Consider the following 22,384-nt stretch of genomic DNA (forward strand, 5'->3'; position numbering starts at 1 on the left):
AGAAGAAAATATTTTCAAGGTGTTTACACGACCAGTTTCTGATATAGAAATCTTAGGCAAAAAAGTATATATGTAAAGATACTTTGTTTCCAAATCCTGAAGTGACAGTAGCCACAGGATGAAACAAGAGAGACAAGGTGGAAGACAACCAAAAGGGTTTAGATACCAACCCCAAGGAAAGCCCAAATAGAACTCTAAATATTCAGTACCAAATGCAGAAATCAAAAAGGACATTCAGAAATACCCATGTTGCATAGAGCATGATATTCAAAGCAAACTAGTCTTTACTTTTTTAAGAGAAATTTTTAAAGCCTATGCAACAAGACAGGAAATAGTAAAAGGTTGCTAAACCATAATTTAACATTTTTAACAAAGTCAGTGGTAGACTAATCTATGCTTAATAGATTTAATTGCGACTAAGATTTTCCTGGAGAAGATAGAGACGTAGCCTATTTCCAGAGCTATGCAGAATTCCTGTGCATAAAGACAACTTAGTGGATATCTAATTTGATGGTTCTCAGTCTCCACTGTGCATCAGAATCAGCTTAAAATATTTTTAAAAATATATCCCAACTCCAATCCTGGATATTCTGGTTCAATTGCTCTAGGATGCGGCTGGTCACTGGTATTATTTTTTCCCCAGGTATTTTGGTTACACATGAGAGCTGATAACCACTGGTCTGATTGAACCTGAATCACTTATTTTACTGGTGAGAAAAGGGTAAGAGATGTTATGTGATCTATACAAAATCACCCTGTTCGTCTGTAGAAATAGCACAGAATTTGTGACCAGAAGATATAGGTCTGTTGTGGCTCTCTTATTGAGTAATTGTGTAAAATTGTGCAAATTATTTAACGCTCATTCTCTGGAAATTTATTTGGAATATGAAAATATAATATCTACTTAACTCACAGGGTTGTTGAGAGAATCAAGTGACATCAACTATGTAAAAGTACTTTGTAAAGTGCAAAATACTATATACATGTTAGGAGTTGTTTTTGTTGTTATTTGTAGTAAAGGCAAGACTAGAACAGAAGTCTCCTCTGTCCCCTACTTCACTACTGTTAAAATCATTTTCTATTTCATTGAGACTATATTATTACACAACCAATTATCAGGCATTGTGTAAACCAGCACATAGTATTAACTAGCTTATTCCCCTACAGTAGCAATTAATTTACATATCCATGACCCAAGCGCTCTACAACTTTGCTATTCAAAGTATGCTTGGTCCAAGAATAAACAGCATTGGCATCACAGGTTACTAGAAATGCAAATCTCATGCCTCACTTCAGATCCACTGAATCTGAATCTTCAGTTCAACAAGATCCCCAAGCAATTCGGGTACACTTTAAAGTTTGAAAAGTACTGTTCTGTGAGATTCCAAAATGTCTTTGGCATGATGGAATTAGGTCCAGTGCCATTTGAGTTCTTTTTCCATTTTAATTTTTCAAAATCTAGAAATTCATATGATTAAATAGCTATGTACAGAAGTGAGATTCTATCTAAATCTATCAGATTAGAGAAATGTTCCCTTCCTCTGTTTGGGCTGAATAACAGCATTCATTGCATTAATTTTCTCAGACTGTCTTTATATTTCTCCTCATAATAATCAATTATTCACAGCAATTTTGATTCATTTGAACTAATCATTATTAGGTCCTGTGGAAGCTTGGCAATTTAACATTCTCATTTTCGATGAGATTTTTTTTAACAAGAGTGATTAGACTGTATATGATCAAAGTTCCCCAATTGCCTATAACATTACTTTTTTTTCCCCATTCTTCAAAGCCACAGGTCATTTTACTCAGTGAGGGTTGAAAAGACTTATTATTCTTAGCATGGGCCAACGGATGCAACTTATTATTTGGATCACATTTTCTTAGTTACAAAAGACACATCCTTGGTTATTTTAATGTAATCAGAATACTGCAACTTGAAGAGAGGTAAAGTAATAAGATCTAGTCTCATTATCCAGACATTTTTGAAAAAGAGGAAAAGAAGTAAACAATTTTGTCCTTATTTTTTTTCTTTCAAAGATGCTAGGCTTCAATTAATTGCCCTGTCTTAAGTCATTCCCTAGGCTCTGCACAAATTAAGAGTGTCTGAGTGGAAATTAAATACGTAAAATCTTAACAAATGGCAGCTACATTAGTTACTCAGCCACCACATAGACTCTGCATACTGAGCAAGGGGAAATTTTCCTGCAACCCAAGATTTACCTTCACATCTAATTAGGTATAAATTGCTGCCTATTTACATTCGATCTATGAATAGTTGTCAGTCCCAAAGTGTCATGGACTTGAGGTATATTGCAAGAGGCTTATTATGAATCTGTTTCCATGAGAGGTAATGATTTTTTTAAAGTGTGGCCACAGAACTTGAGCAGGGCAACGTGATGTGGCAGGAATGATGCTTCCTAGAACATTTTGTAAACTTTTTGTGAAATGAGACAGCAGTAAGGAAATGCAAAGTGATCCACAGGGCTTTGGTTGAGGAGAATGGAGGCTCCCACTTTGTGCAACTGTCAATTTCACTTCACAAAGTGAAGTGAAAGAATGGAGGGTATGAGAATCAAGAGAGAGATGAGAGAGAAAGAGAGAGAGAGAGAGAGAGAAGGCCCCAGACATAAACTAACAGCTTGATGGGGAGGATGTATTTTCTTGAATAGATTGCATCTCCTCTACCCCAAAGAAAACCATTGATTGTCAGCTATTACACATAGGTAACTACTCAACATTTTTGCATAATTCTCTGGAATGCAACTTGTAGTGATTGGATTAAATAGCGCAAAATGTACAACCTTAGAATTAGAGATAATATAATCAGTTATGTATAGGGCCAAGCCTGTTTTACATTAATTCAAATAAATCTATATCATATCAAGTGTTCTTTTCAATTTAATGTTCCATGGGGATTGTTTTTTTCCACTTTCTGCAGGAATATTATATGCTAAGACAACAATAAATGCTCAGCAGTACACTCATCAATGTTGTTACTTTGGTTAGATTCTCAGTGTCTCTTCCAATGGAAGTATTTCTCCCTGTGGTTCTTCATGTTCACTCAAGTCATAAGGATTCATATCAGTCAAGGATTTATAGGCAGCCTGTGCAAGTTCATTCTTTACGACTATAAGCATGTTCCTTCTCAGTTTATAGGCAAAGAGATGATCTATTAAGTGTTGCTATTGGGAATGATAAATGAATATTTACAATTTACAATAAATAAACCCAAAATACCAACAAGTTTCCCCAAAGATAGAGAAGTTTCTAAAAGTTTCCACTTTTCAGCGACTACTGCACATTGTGAAGAAGTAGAGACATTCTAGGTCGAGTTCACTTTAACTAGCTAGGTTTCATGGGCCACTAAAACCCCTAAATATTCTAGGTTTTGGTGGAACGTAAGAGAAAGAGAATCAGACAAGCAAATTATAAAACCTGGTTTTGACACTTATTTACAGAGAAGCCTCAACTCCTTGGATATCCTCATCTGTAAAATGTCTACCTTAGTGTGTTCTTGCAATGATAAAAATCAGAGAATATAACACACCTAGAACACTGCCCACCACAGTAATAATGTTTTAAATAAATGTTACCTCCCTTATTTTCTTATTTTAATAACAGTTCACAATAGTTTAAAGAGGATCAAAGCAGATAAAATGTGGGCACATAAGCAGTTTAACATAAATATTTGCTATTACAATATAGTAAAGGGTGGAATATGAATACTCATATGCTTTTTGTGATTGATAACTCTAAGACATCATGGTGGTTGATTTGAGTTTCCAAGTGCTATTGAGAAATGAAGTGTTGCGCAAACTTGACCTATGAATCTAGATTTTTTCTAGAACTTCTTTTCTGTCAATTCTACCTAGTACCTTATACATTTTGGGACTGTAAGCTTCTGCTGTTGGAGAATAAAATACAACTTTGATCTGGAATATTTTTAATCAAATCGCTTACCTATTTCACCTACAGCCAATATCTTTTGAGACACAAGGATATAATAATACTCAAGCCCCTCTGCAGTACTTTTTACTCATAAATACAGCATGTCAGCACAACATAACATGTATATCAATATTCTTCCTTATGTATTAATAGAGCTGTACCAGTAACTAAATAAATACTGAAATACTGCTACACAATTGGTAAAGAGCTACTCACTACCCGGAGCACTTCAAGGGTCCTCCTATTCCCACTACTCCTTCCCTGAGACCCACTGCATGTCCCCACAATCCATCAACCAAACACATTTGAGCTTACAAATTCTACCCTGGCGCTAGTCCTGGGGTCTGTTTTTCTTGATCAGTGTGTGTCGTACCTACAATTAAATTGCATCTCTCATTCATCCATGCCAACGTCTTTGTCCTTCTTGCTCCCCAGCACAGCATAGAAAGACACTCCAATATAGTATAGAAAAAAACCACCAGCTTATCTCCACAACTGCTTTGATTTCTGCTGGCTCCACTTCCTCTCTCATTCCACTGACCCTTGACAATCATGCTTCTGATAGAACCCAAAGGTAATCTCCTCTTTTCAGGCCTAAGCTTATCTCTTCTGAGTCACTCTGGATCCTCCTCTCCTCATACAGGAGAGATGTTAGACCATTATCATACTTTAGTGCCATGACATTGGCCTGCCCTTTGACATCTTCTAGGCTTCCTTTGAGTCTGACTGCTCTGACTGCAGCCCACTGTAAGCATTCCCAGGCCCACTTCTACAAAGAAGACCGGGTTGATAAGAGGTTTTATCTCAGTGCCACAGCAGGCATCCTGCCTGGCGGGGTAACACTTAAGAAGTGCTAGATACTTTTTCAATGGGACAGCAGAGAGATTCAAAAAAATGACCTTTGGTGACTTTGCTATTATAGACTATCTTCTAGAATGAGATAATGCAGGATGGATCATGGTCAATGGTATGAGTCAGTTCTAGACTACAGCTGTTCAAAGTTTATCATGGTTTTATATTTCTTATTCTTTGGGGGTGTAGATGATGAAGCTCTGTAGAATGGTAAGAATACTTGAGAATAGTGTAAGACCCAAGGCTGAATGTCTCCGTTCCAATTCTCCATCTTCCCCTCCAACTGACCCAATAACTAAAGAAGTTCCACTTGACCAAGTTTTACCCCAGCTCTCTCACCTGCCTTCTGCCTTATTCCTTGTCAACTTTCTTGATTTTCTCATTCACATGGCTTCTGATCTTTTTATTTTGTCTCTATTTTACCCGCTCCTTCAAATTTGGTAATTGATATAGTTTCTCCCACATAAATCATTTCCCCCAGGTTTTCAGAACAGAGATCCAAATTTTCTCTATGATTTTATCCAATTTCTGTGACTCTTGGAAACTATGAAGCCCTCTTTTGCTTTCCATTTATTCCACTGGTTTCTGTATGACTATAACACAACAAAATATGGAATTGCTTGTATTTATTATAGAATTAATCAGCATCAAAAAAATGAATATAGGGCTGGCACAGTGGCTCACACCTATAATGCCAGAACTTTGGGAGGCTAAGGCAAGAGGATCGCTTGAGGCCAGGAGTTCAGAAACAGCCAGGGCAAGATAGTGAGACCTCATCTCTACAGAAATCTTATAAAATTATCTCAGCATGCCTATATGTGCCTGCAGTCCTAGCTGCTAAGAAGGCTGAGGTGAGATGATTGCTTGAGCCTAGGAGTTCGAGGCTGCAGTAAACTATGACTGTGCTACTGCACTCCAGCCTGGGTAGCAGACAGAGGTCTCATTTCTATAAATAAGCACAAATAAATAACAATTATTTAATTTATGTAAATTAATCTTTTCCATTTTAATAAATAAACAATTTATAAATATTCTTTCAGGGTATGGGGAAAAGCCACAGAACCTTGACTTCTAGGTATGTCCTTTAGTTGGTCCATTAAGCATTGTGTATGAAGGATGATATTTCTCTTTTTCAAGTGACTAGACTTCCATGGCAAATCAATTCTAGTATCGAGCCTCTTGCTAAGGCAGCATCTAGAGCCTTCGGCCAGAAACTTCAAACTTAAGAAGAGTGGAGGGATCTTTCGTGCTCTGCAACAGAAGTTCAGTGCCATTGAACTATGGAAACACGGGGTTTTTAGGTCCTCTTATGAGGAAATGCCTTCCTATCACTGGTTCTGTTTTTGCCCTTGCTGTGATTTTATATGCAAAGTAGCTATTCAGCAGACACAGTCAAATACCTTAAATGTCTATCAGTCACTTTATCAGAAACACGGACCAAGAAAATATAATAGAAAATATGGAAACAGGCCAAAGTACATGTGGTAATTTAATATTATAAAGAATATAATCTCAAATTAAGGATGAGGAAAGAGAACATTTTAAGAAATTGTATTAGAACAAAGAGATAGTCATTTGAGAAAAAAAGATACATTTGAATTTTATACCACACACATTGTACCATATGCTGGGTAAATGCAAATTGATCAGAAATCTAAATGTAAAAACAAAACCATACAAAAAGTGAAAAAAATCAGTGTATTAGTTTTACAATATTGAAGTGATGAAACCTAAATTTGATCTAGAAATAATTATAAGAAACATGAATATATTATACTATCTATTTTTTTAACTTTTCTTGGTAAACCTAAAACTCTAAAAATCTTGAAAGACAACCCAGGTAATATCATTCAGGACATAGGCACAGGCAAAGATTTAATGATGAAAACGCCAAAAGCAATTGCAACAAAAGCAAAAAATGACAAATGAGATCTAATTAAACTAAACAGCTTCTGCACAGCACAAGAAACTATCAACAGAGGAAACAAACAGTCTACAGGATGGGAGAAAATTTCTGCAAACCATGCATCTGACAAAAGTCCACTCTTCAGCAGCTATTAGGAACTTAAACAAATTTACAAGAAAAAAGATAACCTTATTAAAAAGTGGGGAAAGGACATGAACAGACACTTTTCAAAAGAAGTCATACATGCGGCCAACAATGATATGAAAAAACAGCTTAACATCACTGATCATTAGAGAAATGCAAATCAAAACTACAATGAGACACCATTTCATACCAGTCAGAATGGCTATCATTAAAGGGTCAAAAAATAGCAGGTGCTGGTGAGGTTGTGGAGAAAACGGAATGCCTAAACACTGTTGGTGGTAGCATAAATTAGTTCAACCGTTGTGGAAGACAGTGTGGCAATTCCTTAAAGATCTAGAAGCAGAAATACCATTCAACCCAGCTATACCATTGCTGGGTATACACCTAAAGGAATATAAATCATGCTATTATAAAGACGAATGCATGCATATGTTCATTGCAGCACTATTCACCATAGCAAAGACATGGAATCAACCTAAATGCCCATCAATGGTAGACTGGATAAAGAAAATGTGGTACATATACACCATGGAATAGTATGCAGCCATAAAAAAGAACAAGGTTATGTCCTTTGCAGGAACATGGATGGAGCTGAAGGCTATTATGCTTAGCAAAATAATACAAGAACAGAAAACCAAATACCACATGTTCTCACTTATAAGTGGGAGCTAAATGATGAGAACATATGGACATATAGAGGAAAATAACACACACTGGGGCCTTTTGGAGGGTGGAGGCTGGGAGGAGGGAGAGTATCAGATAAAATAACAAATGGGTACTAGGCTCAATACCTGGGTGATGAAATAATCTGTACAACAAACCCCCATGACACAAGTTTACCTATGTAACAAACCTGCACAGGTACTGAACTTAAAAGTTAAAAAAAATAGGCAAAGGACATGAATAGACATTTCTCAAAAAAAGTCATACCAGTTGCCAACAAACATATGACAAAATGCTCATCATTACTAATCATCAGAGAAATGGACATCAAAACCACAATGAGATGCCATTTCACACCAGATGGAATAGCAATTATTAGAAAATAAAAAATAAAAATAAAAGATGCTAGAGAGGCTGCGGAGGAAAGGGAATCTTTTTACACTGTTGGTGGGAATGTAAATTAGTTCAACCACTGTGGAAAGCAGTTTGGAGATTTCACAAATAATTTAAAGCTACCATTTGACCCAGAAATCCCATTACTTTGTATATATACCCAAAGGAGACTAAGTCATTCTACCAAAAAGACACATGTACTTGTACGTTCATCACCATGCTATTCATAATAGCAAAGATATGGAATCAACCTAGGTGCTCATCACTGGTAGATTGGCTAAAGAAGATGTGGTACATATCCATCATGGAGTACAATGCAGCCATATGAAGGACAAAATTCTATCCCTTGTCACAATATGGACACAGTTGTGGATACAAGAACCGAAAACCAAATACTTCATGCTCTCATTTGTAAGAGGGAGCTAAACATTGAGCACCCATGGACATAAACATGGAAAGAAAAGACACTGCAGACTACTAGAAGGGGGAAGGGGAGGATGGGATGAAAAACTACCTATTGGGTAGTATGCTGCCTCTCCAGTTGACAAGATTATTCATATGCCAAACTTCAGCATCATGCAATGTACTCATATAACCAACTTGCACATGTATTCCCTGTATCTAAAATAAAAGTTTGAAGAAAAAAAAAACAAAACAAAAGAAACAGATGGCCTCATCACATTGACCAGCCTCCCCCTAACATCCTTCAGCACTTTTCACTAGCTCACTTAGTCCTCAAACTTCTGCTACTTTTTGTTTGAGGGTAGTTGAATTGAATATCCATATTGCAATAGCCATGAATAAAGTTTTCCTTTCCTGTTTAATCCTGTCCTATGTAATTTTTCTTTGACAATAAATACCATCTTGCTAAGAACAGATCATTCATGATTGAGACTTAAATTCCAAGGTTCCAAGAAGGAAACATTAAGAGCACACTGTCTTATTTCAACACTACCTGTGACATTTTTATAGCCAGACTGGGCAGTTATTTAATGATGAGGACCTACTTCAACAATTGACCTTAATAATAGAAATGTGTTTAGGAAGACATCATGGCTTGCTAATAGATCTTCCTTATCTATGTTTTTATCAGTCAGCATTTTCAGTTTTTCAGTTGTGTCATGTGGGGAAAATAAATTGCCAGTCTTCTGCATATGATCATATACCCTCATGCCCCACCTCCATAGGAGTCCAGTAAAATCAATTTTCTATGTTTTCCATTTTTCTCTGAAGCATGTCTGGCTGGTTACTTCAGCAGATGAACAGGCACACCTGAGGGACAACTGGTTGTGTGGCTCTTGCTCAACCTATCACTTTGATACTAACACTGAGGAAAAAGATCCCAGATGCCAGAAACATTTATAGACAGATGGTTGTCCCTAGTTTTCATTTGCATCTCTTTGTTCTCATCATCAAAGACACCAGGATAACTGTAGCCATAAAGGAGGTACTTCTACTTGCTCATTATGTGCTTCTTCCCAGGGTAGCATCATAGCTACATCTTGCTAAATTGCAAAAACTCTGATTTAAAGCACTGCCCTGGGCAAATCCCTTATCCAGCCTCAGGTGAAACTGAGCCTCCCATTTCTTAGAGGTTTCTTCATGTGCTTTGTATGAAGAAGCCTTGAAACAGAAGTAAGCTCTGTGCACTCACTAGCAACACAGGGGAGATGGAATAATGATCTCTCCTTAATCAAGACTGATGGGAACTTTGATTAGACCCACTTTCCCACAAGAAAAAGCCACATTAGACATGTTTGTCTGAAGTGAAGACTGAAAAAAAAAGCTGTTTATTAAATCATAGATGACTGATAATCTCTTTTCTAGCATTATATTATTAATGTGAATTGGTAGAATTTGAAATCTACAGCAATTTCAGAGTGCAGAATGAAGGCTGGGAGTGTTGGCCTCAATTTGAGCAAGAGAATTTTAATAGTTAAAATGCACAGAACAAGGTGCTTTGGGAGAGGATGAGGTTATTACAAAGTGAATTCATGCGTGAAAGAACCAGTGCCATCCGTACCATTTCTGAAACTATTTGATTCTTTTAAAATTCCAACAAAAGTAAATTGAAGCCATGAATGAAGTGCACCCAGAATCTCCACAGATTCTACTGAATTTTTTGAAGGCTTTCCCTTTAGTAAATTTGAAAAGGGCTTGTATAGATTGCCATTATTTTTCTGTATACAGGTTGTACCAAATTACACTTCCCTTAGTGAATTATGAGAAGGCCTGTTTCCCTACAGTGTGGCAATCCACAGTATACAATCAAGCTTTTTGACCTCTGCCAATCTGAGAGGTAACTATGAAAACTCTGTGCCATTTTAGTTTACATTCCTTTTATGAAGTGTGAGGTTGAAAAGATTTTGTGTGTTTAAGCAAGAGTCATATTTCCTCTACTGTGAACTGTTGGTTCATATCTTTTGCTTATTTGCTTCCTGAACTCTTGGCTTATTTCTTACAGGGTTTAGAACCATTGTCTGTGATATGATTAGCAAATGCTCCCCAGAGTTCTGAGACTGTCTTATGGATTTATTGTGTTTTTCCAATATAAATTTCAGAAAACTTTTTAGTGGAATTTATCTATGTTTTTTCTTACTTTTCTTCACCTCTGGACATCGTGTTATACTATGGAAAATATTTTAAAAGTTGACCAATCTTTTTAGTGTTTATATTTCATGTTTAAGTCTGGAGTCACTTAGATGTGAACTATGGATTAAACTTCATTCTTTTCCAGGTGCCTACATATTCCAACAACATTTATTGAATAATCTATCAGTTCCTCACCAATATGAAATGTCATATTTACCTTATACTTAAAATCTCATGTATAGTTGATTATGTTTCTTAAATGTATGTGGTATTTTACTGCTTGGTCTATACACATGACAACACTATACTGTTTTAATTATTTTAGCTTTATAGCATTTTAACATCTAGTAGTAATAAACTTCCCCATGAATCAAATAATCTCTTGTATATTAATTTTTTCATATAAAATTTATCCAGTAAGAAAACAATGGATGAAATTTGTATTGATACTATATTCAATTTATAGAATGAATAGGTGAATATGAATTGTTAGCATTATTAATATGAGAGCTTCCATGAATACAGTATTTCTTTTTGTTTGTATTTTGGGTCTTCTGGTAGTTTTCTTCATTTTCTCAAGTAGAATGAACTCTTTTCCATGTATGTGTTCACATCACTTCATTCAGACTCTTTCTCTACTATAACCTGTCCACTTTCTGTTACAGCTTATATTGTTGTTGATGATTTATTGTTTTACTTTCTCATCCAACACCTTTGTATCCTGAATGTCCAACCCATAGTTGACACTCAAATGCCTGTTATCTGCTTAACTGGCCTCTTTTGCAGCCTATGCCTGCTTTCCTGTTTCACCAAAAATCAATACTAGATCCTATAAAAGTCCCTTATGTATATTTCCATTGTGCACTTGAGCCAGGAGGGCAACATGTGAGGATGGGGTCCTGTACTCTTGGTTTTGTTTCTGGCTCACTCTAGAATTAAACAAAGCAAAATATCTTATCTGTAGACTCTGGTGTTTATGCCACAGACCACTGGTTGTTCAAATATTAGAAAAACCAATATTTGATTTTGCTTCATTCTCTTCTGTATTGGCTCAATATTCTTCTGAGGCATTATTACCACCTTGCCAAATGTTAAATTCAGAGACCAAGAAATGAAGACAGCATCCTTTAAATAAGTTACTTTCTACAAGACACACATGGAGGCAATGGAAGGGGAAGACTTTTGAAAACTGAAAAACTAGAACTTACTTCTTTCTTGTCTCTGAATAGAGATGGTATTTTTCCGTGCTCACAGATAGATGAGAAATGCATGGATTTTAATGTCTTATTTATACTTTAAAAATTTCTACCAGAATTATGATTTTCTCTTTAACTAAACTTTTTAACATAGTCTCAAAATCAGATCCCCATATATTCCAGATGTGCTTATAGATATTTGCAATTAGATTTTGTCATTTAATATTCATAATTTTGTTAATTAAGAACTATTCTCAACACTTAAAGATGAATAAGCAAAGAGTCAGAGAGACTAAAATAATTATCCTTCCTATGTTATACATCGCTACATTTTAGAATCCTGAGTGAAACCTAGAGTTAATTCTCTTTCTTAAAAAATATTTTAATATTTCTAAAATGGTCCTTGCTATACACTGAATATTCATGCTCCCTCCAATTTATATGTTGAAATTTTAACCTCTAATATGATGGTATTAGAAAGTGAGGCAATTGGGAGGTAATTAGGTCATAAGAACTGAACCCTTATTCATGGAACTAATGGCTCTATAAAAAGACATAAGAAAGCCTGCTTTCTCTCTCAGCTTTCTACCATGTGAGGATACAATGAGAAAACAGCTGTCTGCAACCCGAAAGAAGGCCCTTACCAGGACATGATCATGCCAGCACCCTGATGTCTGACTTCCAGCCTCTAGAACTGTGAGAAATAAATATCTGTTTCTTTGTAAGCCATCCATCCAGTCTATGATATTCTGTTATAGCAGCCTGAAGTAAGATAGTCCTCAGTGACCCCTGCCTCTTGGTATTCCAGTCTTTGTGTAATCCCCTCCTCTTGAGTGAAAACTACATCTTGTGACATTCTTCTAATTAATAAAATGCAGAAAATGCAATGGAATGTCATTTCCTTGATTAGGTTCCAAAACATTTTGACTTCTGTATTACTGGTAATTTTTCTATCTTGTTGTCACTCTCACTTGCTTGCTTTCTTGCTTGCTTGTTCTGACTTGAATGTTATATGGAAAGGCAGGTGGGGCAGGAGTGGAAGGAGTCCACTAGCCAACAACAAGTGAGAAGTTAACTCCTTAATTCAACACTCTTTAAGAAGGTGAATTTTGCCAACAACCATTTAAGTAAGCTAAAAAGGAGATTCTTCCCAGTTGACCCTTGAGACGACTATTATCCTAGCCAACACCTTGATGCAGCCTAATGAGAGACCTTGAAGTAGAAGCCCCAGATAAGCCATGACCAGATTCTAAACACACAGAAACCGAGGTAACAAAATGATGTAGTTTTAAGTTACTGATTTTGGGGTCATTTGTTATATAGCAATAGATAACTAATATGCACCTAGTCTCTGTTCTAATTATCTACAGTTGTATAGCAAATTATTCCAAAATCTTAGTGGCTTAATAAACAACCATCACTTATTTTGCTCCAGAATTTTCAGTGTGGGTGGGTCTCATGGAGGTGGACTTTTGTCTGCTCCACAATGTCTGGGGCATCAACTCTAATGATTAGGTTTTCTGACGGTGGGAGTAGCTGGCCGCTTGCTGAGCATCTCTCTCTTTATGTAGTGTCATGATCTCTTCATGTGGCTTCTCCATCTAGTGTCTCCAGAGTAGTGGCCTCAAAGTAATCACATTCTTAATTTGGGAGCCAAGGGTACCCAGAGAAAGTTTTGTAAGAAATCATACCAAAAACTACAAAGCTTCTTATAATCTCTTATGAGTCCCAGAAGTCACAGTGTCACTTCTGCCATATGCTATGGGTCACACAGAGCTAACCACAACCTCTGTGAGAGAAACCTACACAAAGTGTGAATACTGGGAGATGAAAATATCTGGGGACTATCTTGGAGTTTGCTACCAAACTGCTCTATATTTGTGTCTCTTCCTCATCTCATCAAATGTTACGAAATGCTTTAAAAGAAAAGAGGCTTGCCAGTTGGAGAGCTGTGCTGCTTACTCTCTGTTTTTTAGCTTTTACCTAAAACACTTAACCTGTATGTACTCTAGTTTCCTGATGCATACAATTAGAGTAAATATCTATGCTCTAATTACGTTGTGATACAATTGAGTAGGGTAAAAAAAAAAAATGTGAACTCTCAAGTAGAGTGCTAGCACATACTAGGTGCTCCAGGCATAGTGGATAACATTCCTACTTTTCTAATTCTTATATCATCCCTAGCCCCATTTTTCCTAATCCTCTTTGCTAGGGCTTTCCACATCCTGCCCTCTGTTATAGTTGTTTATATACATTTATTATCTTGCTTAATGAATTGTAAAAATACTTTAGAGTCAGGCTTTACAATTCCATTAACTTAGCACCTGGTAGGTGCTTAATAAAAAAGCATTGATTAAATGTTCACTACTTACCCTTTGCACTATTCATCTAGCATTATTTATTCATTGTCTTGTCCTCCCGTGAAGGATAAGCATTTAGTGGAAGTGATCATGCCTTGTAAGTAACTCTTAAAGTCTCCATCAACAGCCCCTAGGCCTTGTTCAAAGTGTTCGTTAATGGAAGTCTATAAAACAAATTTTAATATCTACTGTCTATTAACACATTCACTTATTCCTTTGACAGGAACTTTCCTCGTTCTGGCAGGAAGCAGCAGGGAAAAGTGGGAAAAGACAGTAGAATAGAGGTTAGGCACTCATACATGGTGGCCGGACCACCTGGTTTTGAACAAGATTCAGGCAGTTACTACATATAGACCTTAGAAATAACTTATTATCTGTAAGCCTTCTTGTGTCATTTGTAAAATGGAGAAAATAGTTTTTCCTTATAGGGCAGTTTTGGGAATAAAATGGGATAATGTGTATGTAACATGCAGCACAATGCTTATACAAAGTAAGTGCTTAGTAAACCTTCACTTTCATTAAATGTCACCACTTCCATGAAGTCTAGATTGCCTATGCTGAAACTCTGCTCAGAACACCTACATGATTTTGTTTGATTTTTTCTTATGGAAAAATGTCTTACTCATGTTTTCAATAGTGAACTATGTGGTTTGTTTTATTGTCCATGCTAGACTTCAAATTCTTAGACTATAACATCTGGACGTGATTTGACATGAAGTCCTGAACATAGCCCAGGTAAGGAATATTTCTGTATCTTTCCCCCACATTTATACTTCTGCCTGTCTTTTTGTAACAGTTATGCAGATAGAAATAAGTTGCTAAATTGTTGGTTGACATCTCATATTGAGCCATTTTTTTTAACTAGGCAGCATTTTTTATTAAGCCCGCCACTCTGATTACCATTATTTTAGTAACTATACCTAGCGCAACCAGCATCTTTCTCTTTCAGTTTTTCTCACCACAGACTTAAGAATATGTCCCCCTACAATCTTTATATTTCTTTCTTTTTCCTATTCTCAGAGATGAAAAGGTGAGTAAATACCTAAACTTCATTTAACAACCCAATTTTCACCACAGTGCCCTACTTTGGACATTATTGAGCACTTCCTCAATATTATTCACTCTTCCTTTGTTCTGTGTGTATATTTCTCTCAACCCAGAATTCCACAGGGAGACAACGTAAATGGAAGGCAGGATCTGGCTGTATCTTTGGTCTTGGAAGTAATAATATCAAAATCCCATCTCTTGAATATCTAGTTTACAGTGACAGCAATACTAGTAACAGTAATGGATGACATGCACTGAGCTCCTCATGAGCCCTTCTAAACTTTGTGTATTTGCTAGTGCACATGAACCACAGAACAATGAAGAGAATTAAGTTATGAAGCAGAAGTTAACCACTTTGCCTAGTGACAGCTGATAAGTAGCAAAGCTAGGATACAAACCTAGAAAATTTGGCTTTAGCAAGAGACAGCTCGTATCCTGTGTCATATACTGCATCTCACTGGGGGCTTATAAGTAAGGAGGGGACACAGAAATTGTACTTCTCCAGCCTACCTCACTATCATTACAAGGCCTGGGACTTGTACATAGAGAGTTACAAAGTCTCTTATAGCAGCTGATGCACAGTAAGTGCTCAATTAATGATTGTTGAACAAACGAATGAACATTAGATGAAAACATACTTAAACAAGCACATAAACCAATTCAAGTGAGATGAAATTGAAAACTACAGACAATCAATTTACATACAGAAAGGACTCTTCCATATTTTGTGAGTAAATGATGTGTGTGCATTACAGACACATATTCCAAACAAACATGCACACATGTACTAATACACTTAGTTTCTCCACTTGCAACTCAACTGTGATTTTCCTATCAGAGAGTAGTATTTTCCTAGACTCCAGAAATAACACTAAGGCAACATATTAAATGGTGTGTTATACAAATGCTAAGTACCCCACAAATTCAGTGTTACCTAGCCATTTCATAAACAAAATTTAAAAGTCAATTGGTTTAATTGAACTGTCAAAGTAGGTCAAACTGAAAGGGCAGAGATTATATATAAATAGTCCAATGTCTGTCAGTCTCAGGGAGCTAGTCATTAGATGCCAATCTGATCATAATTAATATGTTATTAAAATCCTCACAAAATAAATTGACTTGATTTAAATCAAAGAGTTGAAGTCATGCAAGGGCAATGAAGAGAAAAAATGTTAGGGCAAAGTTCTGTACTTTCCTAAAATTTCAAATTTGGGCAAACCAACATGGGCTATCTTATTTTTCCGCTTGGAGAAAATAAGAGATCTTCTCATTTAATCATCTACTCATATTTTAAAGTCTTGGAAACTTAGAACACCCTAAATTTGTCTATATTAGATCAGAGTCATGATTTTCTCAGCCCAATATTGTGTCTGCAATAAAAGAAACAAGTGAAGCATTTTGCCTACCTGCATATCAGCCTCAAGGTTTAGGTATGTTCACAAAATATCTGTGTGCCTAGCACAGTGCTTAGAACAAAACAGAAAAACAAACACTTAAAAAATATTTGTTAGAATGAAATAAAATTCTTATTTCCAAGAATAGTATATGCATGTATTTTCCCAAAATTGTTCTAAATTTCATTCTGTTTTCTGTCTGAATCTACTATGAAATTATGCTGTCTCATGTATGAAGCACAATTTTTGTAATAATTTTTTTAAATTTTATTGAATATTTGCCACGTGCCAGGCATAGTATCTTATTTTTAACCTCACAACAACCTTAGAAGGCCCATTTTACAGATGAGGAAATTGACACTGTGAGAAATGAAGTTGCCCAAGTTTATGCAGCTAAAACAAGAGAGAATTAGAATTTAAACAAACTCCTTGTGTTTCCAAAATATCAATGCTCCTTAACTCCAACTTTACAATTAAATGCACTGAGAGAAACAGCCTAGCCCCTCTTCCCTCAGCATAGTGCTTCTCTGTATTCTGGTATTTCCTGCTTCATAATCTTGGCAGGGCTAGAACAGGGGTTGAGCAGAAGTCTTGTTAAAAATGCAAATTCATCTACATCACCCAGGACCACCGAAGCAAAATATCCAGACCTACTGAAGAAAGGTGGTGCCCTGGAATCATCATTATCATCATCATCATTATCATCATCATCATCATCATCTGTCACACTGGAAGGAAGACGAAATAAATTAAATGACATTTTGATTAAATATTAATAAATATTACCGATATTTTCAGAACTTGTTAATGTGAAAGGCAAATATATTGTGTATTCATAACTGATAAGATTAATTTCAAAGGAGAAGCTCAATGACTTCAAATGCCACAATTACTCATAAATACAAAGGTTAACAGGTTAATAGAGAGAAAGGCCAGTACTGTTGAATGGATGGTAAAAATTCATAAGATAGGAGTAGGTAACCAATTTTCAGACTTCAAGGTGACCTTGAATACATTATTTAAACCTCTCTAAGCCTCAGTTACTCATGTTATAAAATGAGGAAAATAACATGTATAATGGAAAAACAAAAATACTGTAAATAAATATGTGTAGCCGAGTGCCTGGCATATAATAGGTACATAATTAAAAATATCTTTTTCTTAAAATAGCTAGCTTCTTCTGTGTGGATATCCCTAAAATCTCTGTGTATTTGTATAGCCATCTTTTTAATTTTGATTACATACTTAACTAGAAGGTGGATTCTACAGTCCAATAACTATCCTGTAAAGCCACCTCCCAGGATCAAAAATGGAGAAACGTGGAGTTGTCTTGTATGTCCCTTGGAATAGCAATGCATTCATTTTCTTACAAACCAAATGTTCTTTACAAATACTGACCAATGCAACAGTCCTTTTGCCCCATGTATTCTAAAAATGGCATAAAGACATTTTTAAGTTAACTAGCTAGCTTCTTTATTGGGTCAGCCACATGACTTTAAAAATAAAACATCAAGAGTTATCTCAGAAAAATTCAGCAAGCACTTTAGAGTTAGTTCTGCTGGGTAGAGCTTGCTAATAAGAACAGGGTCAGAGGTTCAACCCCTTTGTGGGACCATTATATTCACTTTCTTACAAGACCTCCTTGGCAGTATAATTTGGGCCAGCCTTCTCACGCTGGCATAGCAATGGCCACAGGAAAGATGCAGCAGAGAGCAAGGCTTCAGCAGAAACCACCTCAGTTCTTTAAAAATATCTGCACAGTAAATGGGGTGGGCATTCTGTCATACTCTTTCAAGACAGACACCAACCTTGCTTTGACTCAAAGCGTATTCTGAATGTCTTCATCGCAAGAGAAACTTTAGTGGAAGTGCCCTCTGGAATCAATGATTGGGGTGGTGGATGGGGGAAGGATATGTGTATATAATTTGAAGGGCAAGGACACAGGGGTATTAAAGTATTTGTATTTTCACGAGGTACATTTATATAATGGAATACTGTTCAGACAAAAAAATAAAATAAAATCATGTCTTTTGCATCTACATGGATGGAACTGGAGGCCACTGTCTTAAGTGAAACAACACAGAAAGTCAAACATAGCGTGTTCTCACTTATAAGTGGAAGCTAAAACATGTCTACACATAGACGTAGAGAGTGGAAAAAGTGAACATTAAAGATTTGGAAAGATGGGAGAGTGGGAGGAGGGTGAGAGGTAAGAAGTAAGTTAATGGATACAATGAACGTTATTCCAGTGATAGTTAACAGTAAAAGCCCAGATGTCATCACTATCCAATATAGCCATGGAATGAAACTGCACTTGTACCCCTTAAGTTTATACAAATAAAAAGAGATTTGTTCCTGGTGTTAGAAAAAAAGTAAAGGGGGAAGGTGCTAGGAGAGGAACTCATATTTATTAAGCACTGTGAGAGCTACTTGATATAAACCTTTCATCTACCTACTTATTAACTATTTCTAGATGTTAGACTCTGTGCTAAATAAGCACTGGGAAACAGGAACAAGGTAGACAATATTCCTTGTTTTTATAGAATGTACTGTCTGATGAAGGAAACAAATGTTGAACATTAATTACAAGTATGATCCATTTTATAAAGATAAGAGCAAAGGGCACTATGGAGACATATGGCAAATGACAGTTTCTGAGTGTAAAACACAGAAATCATTTCTGATTAAACTTAAGCTAAACTGTTTTATTAAGGGACTTTGATAATATTAAAACTTTAGGTCACTTAGATGACAGGGTACACAGAGTGTAACCTCAGACTCTCACAAACAAGACATTGTGGATCTATTTGGGGATCCTACCATCACATGACTGTGCCCCAATCACTGTGCTCCAACCAATCTGATTGTTTATTTTTGAACTTATGCCCAATTGTGGTCAAGGTGTACAGAATCTGTTACCAAACAGAGTATAGGGTGGAAACAAAACAGCTATGTTCTACAGACAAAAATATCCAAGAATCTCACTAAGGTGGTAGAATCAGGAAGTGAAATTTTAGGTGAAATTTTAACTATAAGATACATATTATCATCTCCATTTTATACATGATGAAATTAAGATCCAGAAAGCTTCCATGACTTCTTTAAGAACACAAAGCCATTAACTTAAGAAGGTTGGATGGGAACTCATGACTTTCAGTTTATAAAACTTATGGCTTTTCCATTATATCACATTTTCCCAATTTGTATGTCATTAATACAATTAAAACAGGGGATCTTAAAGATATTATGGGCTAGTTTTTGAATAATAAATTTTGATGTCATGGGCATGTCTAATTAAAACAAACACCTTTCACCTCTACATATGGATGTATTTTGCACAAAGTCTGTTAAAGCTGTAACAAAGTCAACCTTAGAAGATAGTAGTGGCATGATATACTTACTTAATAAAACCACAAGAAAATCAAACTTAGAGGGAAAATTCAAGATACCCTTGAATTCTGCTAATTACTGTCAAGATGGCCAAAATCAAGGATGGCAGTTGAAGACACCGTTAACATATTGGTGTGGGGGATGGGATATTTTTAAAGCTACTCTGCTTTTCAACATCAAAATGTCTGCAAAGTAATCCTTTTCCCAATTTAGTACAGCAAAAGCAAGTAAATTAACAAAATCTAGAATGGCAGACATGATAGTTGGTGAAATACCCTATAGAAAAGCATAATAAATAAGACACAATGTCAGTTTTGAACTATTCCAAGCACTGTCTGTAACTTTACGACTTTTCCTCGTACTCAAGAACACCAGTGATAATGAGAGTGATGTTGAAATGAGGATAACTTGGAAGTGACTCTAATATATGTAAAATTTAAGCAATCTCATTTTTCTAATTTATTATGAGACACACTCATAACTGATAATGATACAAAGTACATTTTGATAAGATTGTTGAGAAAATGAATTACTGCTTTAGAGTCCAGATCCCAATTCACCTACTCATGTATTATTTCTGACTATTGTGATCTACCATTTTACTATAAAATACCTATTCCACTCTGAATCACATAACGCACAGCATTTATTCAGAATATGCACTGTTTCACAGTTTTCTAATTATTTCATGTATTTTCTTCCCAGCTGGATAAGAAATGCATCGAAGATATTAATCAGCTCATAGCACAGAGGTAGGTACAATAGATTTCTCTTCTGTGATTTTGATCCTTGAAGTCACAAAAATAACTTTATAAATAATATGTAGAACCTCGAAAAATTTTATTAACTTGCTGAAGCTAACAGGTACCACAGGAGCAAACTATAGGTTACCATATACCCATTCCCAAGTGATATGGTTTGGCTGGGTCCCCACCCAAATACCATCTTGAACTGTAGTTCCCATAATCCCCACGTGTTGTGGGAGGGACCCAGTGGGAGGTAATTGATTAATAGGGGCATTTAACCCCATGCTGCTGTTCTCATGATGGTGAGTGAGTTCTGACAAGATCTGATGGTTGTATAAGGGGCTTTCCCCCTTCTGCTTGGCACTTCTCCTTGCTGCCACCACATGAAGATGGACATGTTTGCTTCCCCTTCCACCATAATTGTAAGTTTCCTGAGGCCTCCCCAGCCCTGCAGAACTGTGAGTCAATTAAACCTCTTGGCTTTATAAATTACCCAACTGTGGGTATATCTTTATTAGCAGCATGAGAATGGACTAATACACCAAGGAATATATTTTTGACTAAGACTTAAAGCTAAAGACTTGAGATAAACCCCACAGGGTTATGATATATTAGCCCTTTTATATATTACTAGATTTTATTTGTGAATGTTTTTTATATACTACTAAATTTGATTTATTAATGATTTTTGTGTTTATGTTCAAGAGGACCATTCATTTGTAATTTTCTTATAATGTCTTTGTATGGTTTAGAATCAGGATAACTCTGGCCTCATAAAACTAAATAGGAAGTGCTCCTTCTTTCTCTGTTTTCTGTAAGAGTGAAAGATTAGTATTAATGATCCCTTAAATGTTTGATAGAATTAACCAGGGAAGCTATCTGGCCCAGAGTTTCCTTTGTAATAAAGTTTTGATTATGGATTTCTATTTATTCTTAATCTAGTTTTAATAACTTGTCTTTCAAAGAATATGTTCACTTAATCTAAGTTGTTAGCATTAGCATTTGGGTGTTTATATTATACCTTAATATCATTTTAATGTCTGAGGATCTGTAATGCTGTCCCAGATCCTATTGGTAATGTATGTTTCCTGTGGTTTTAATCACTGTAACTAGAAGTTTATCAATTTAACCCTGAATATTAGTCATGGATGCTCACTCTTACATTGAACTGGAATTATTTTGTAATTAATTGTTAATTTTTTTCAACATTGAACTGAAATTACAATATAATTAGGCTAGAAGATGAAATAAAAGGTATAGAGATAGGAAAGAAGCAGCAATATTGCTTTTGCAGATGATTTGATCATTCATGCACAGTCAGCTGTCTATGTAATATGGGTTCTATATTAACAAAATTTTCATCCATGGGTTCCACGCCCATGGATTCAACCAATTGCAGATCAAAAATATTTTTTAAAAAAGATAGTTACATCTGTAAAGAACATGTACAGATTTTTTGTTATTATTCCCAAAACAATACATGAGGTCAGGAGTTCAAGACCAGCCTGACCAACATGGTGAAACCCTGTCTCTACTAAAAATACAAAAAATTAGCCGGGCATGGTGGTGCACTCCTGTAATCTCAACTACTCAGGAAACTGAGGCAGGAGAATCACTTGAACCTGGGAGGCAAAGCTTGCAGTGAGCCAAGATTGTGCTACTGCACTCCAGCCTGGGCAAAAGAGCAAGACTCCCTCAAAAAAAAAAAAATTACATGGTATTTATATTACATATTATAAGTAATCAAGAT

At 35.9% G+C, this 22,384-nt stretch overlaps 2 long non-coding RNA genes across 3 annotated transcripts in view; one reads left to right on the forward strand and one right to left on the reverse strand.

Annotated features, from left to right (window-relative positions):
- LINC02755 (long intergenic non-protein coding RNA 2755) overlaps positions 1-20,024 on the reverse strand; it is a 258,473-nt gene extending 238,449 nt beyond the window's left edge. For both annotated transcript variants that reach the window (NR_183754.1, NR_183753.1), the window contains exon 1: positions 19,900-20,024. This is a non-coding gene — a long non-coding RNA (long intergenic non-protein coding RNA 2755). The remainder of the gene's footprint in view (positions 1-19,899) is intronic.
- Positions 20,025-20,086: 62 nt separating this feature from the next.
- The window catches only part of LINC02546 (long intergenic non-protein coding RNA 2546), a 36,264-nt gene continuing 33,966 nt past the window's right edge, over positions 20,087-22,384 (forward strand). The window contains exons 1-2 of the long non-coding RNA NR_149107.1: positions 20,087-20,111; positions 20,594-20,640. This is a non-coding gene — a long non-coding RNA (long intergenic non-protein coding RNA 2546). The remainder of the gene's footprint in view (positions 20,112-20,593; positions 20,641-22,384) is intronic.

The sequence above is a fragment of the Homo sapiens genome, chromosome 11 (assembly GCF_000001405.40).
Source record: "Homo sapiens chromosome 11, GRCh38.p14 Primary Assembly".
Lineage (NCBI taxonomy): Eukaryota > Metazoa > Chordata > Mammalia > Primates > Hominidae > Homo > Homo sapiens.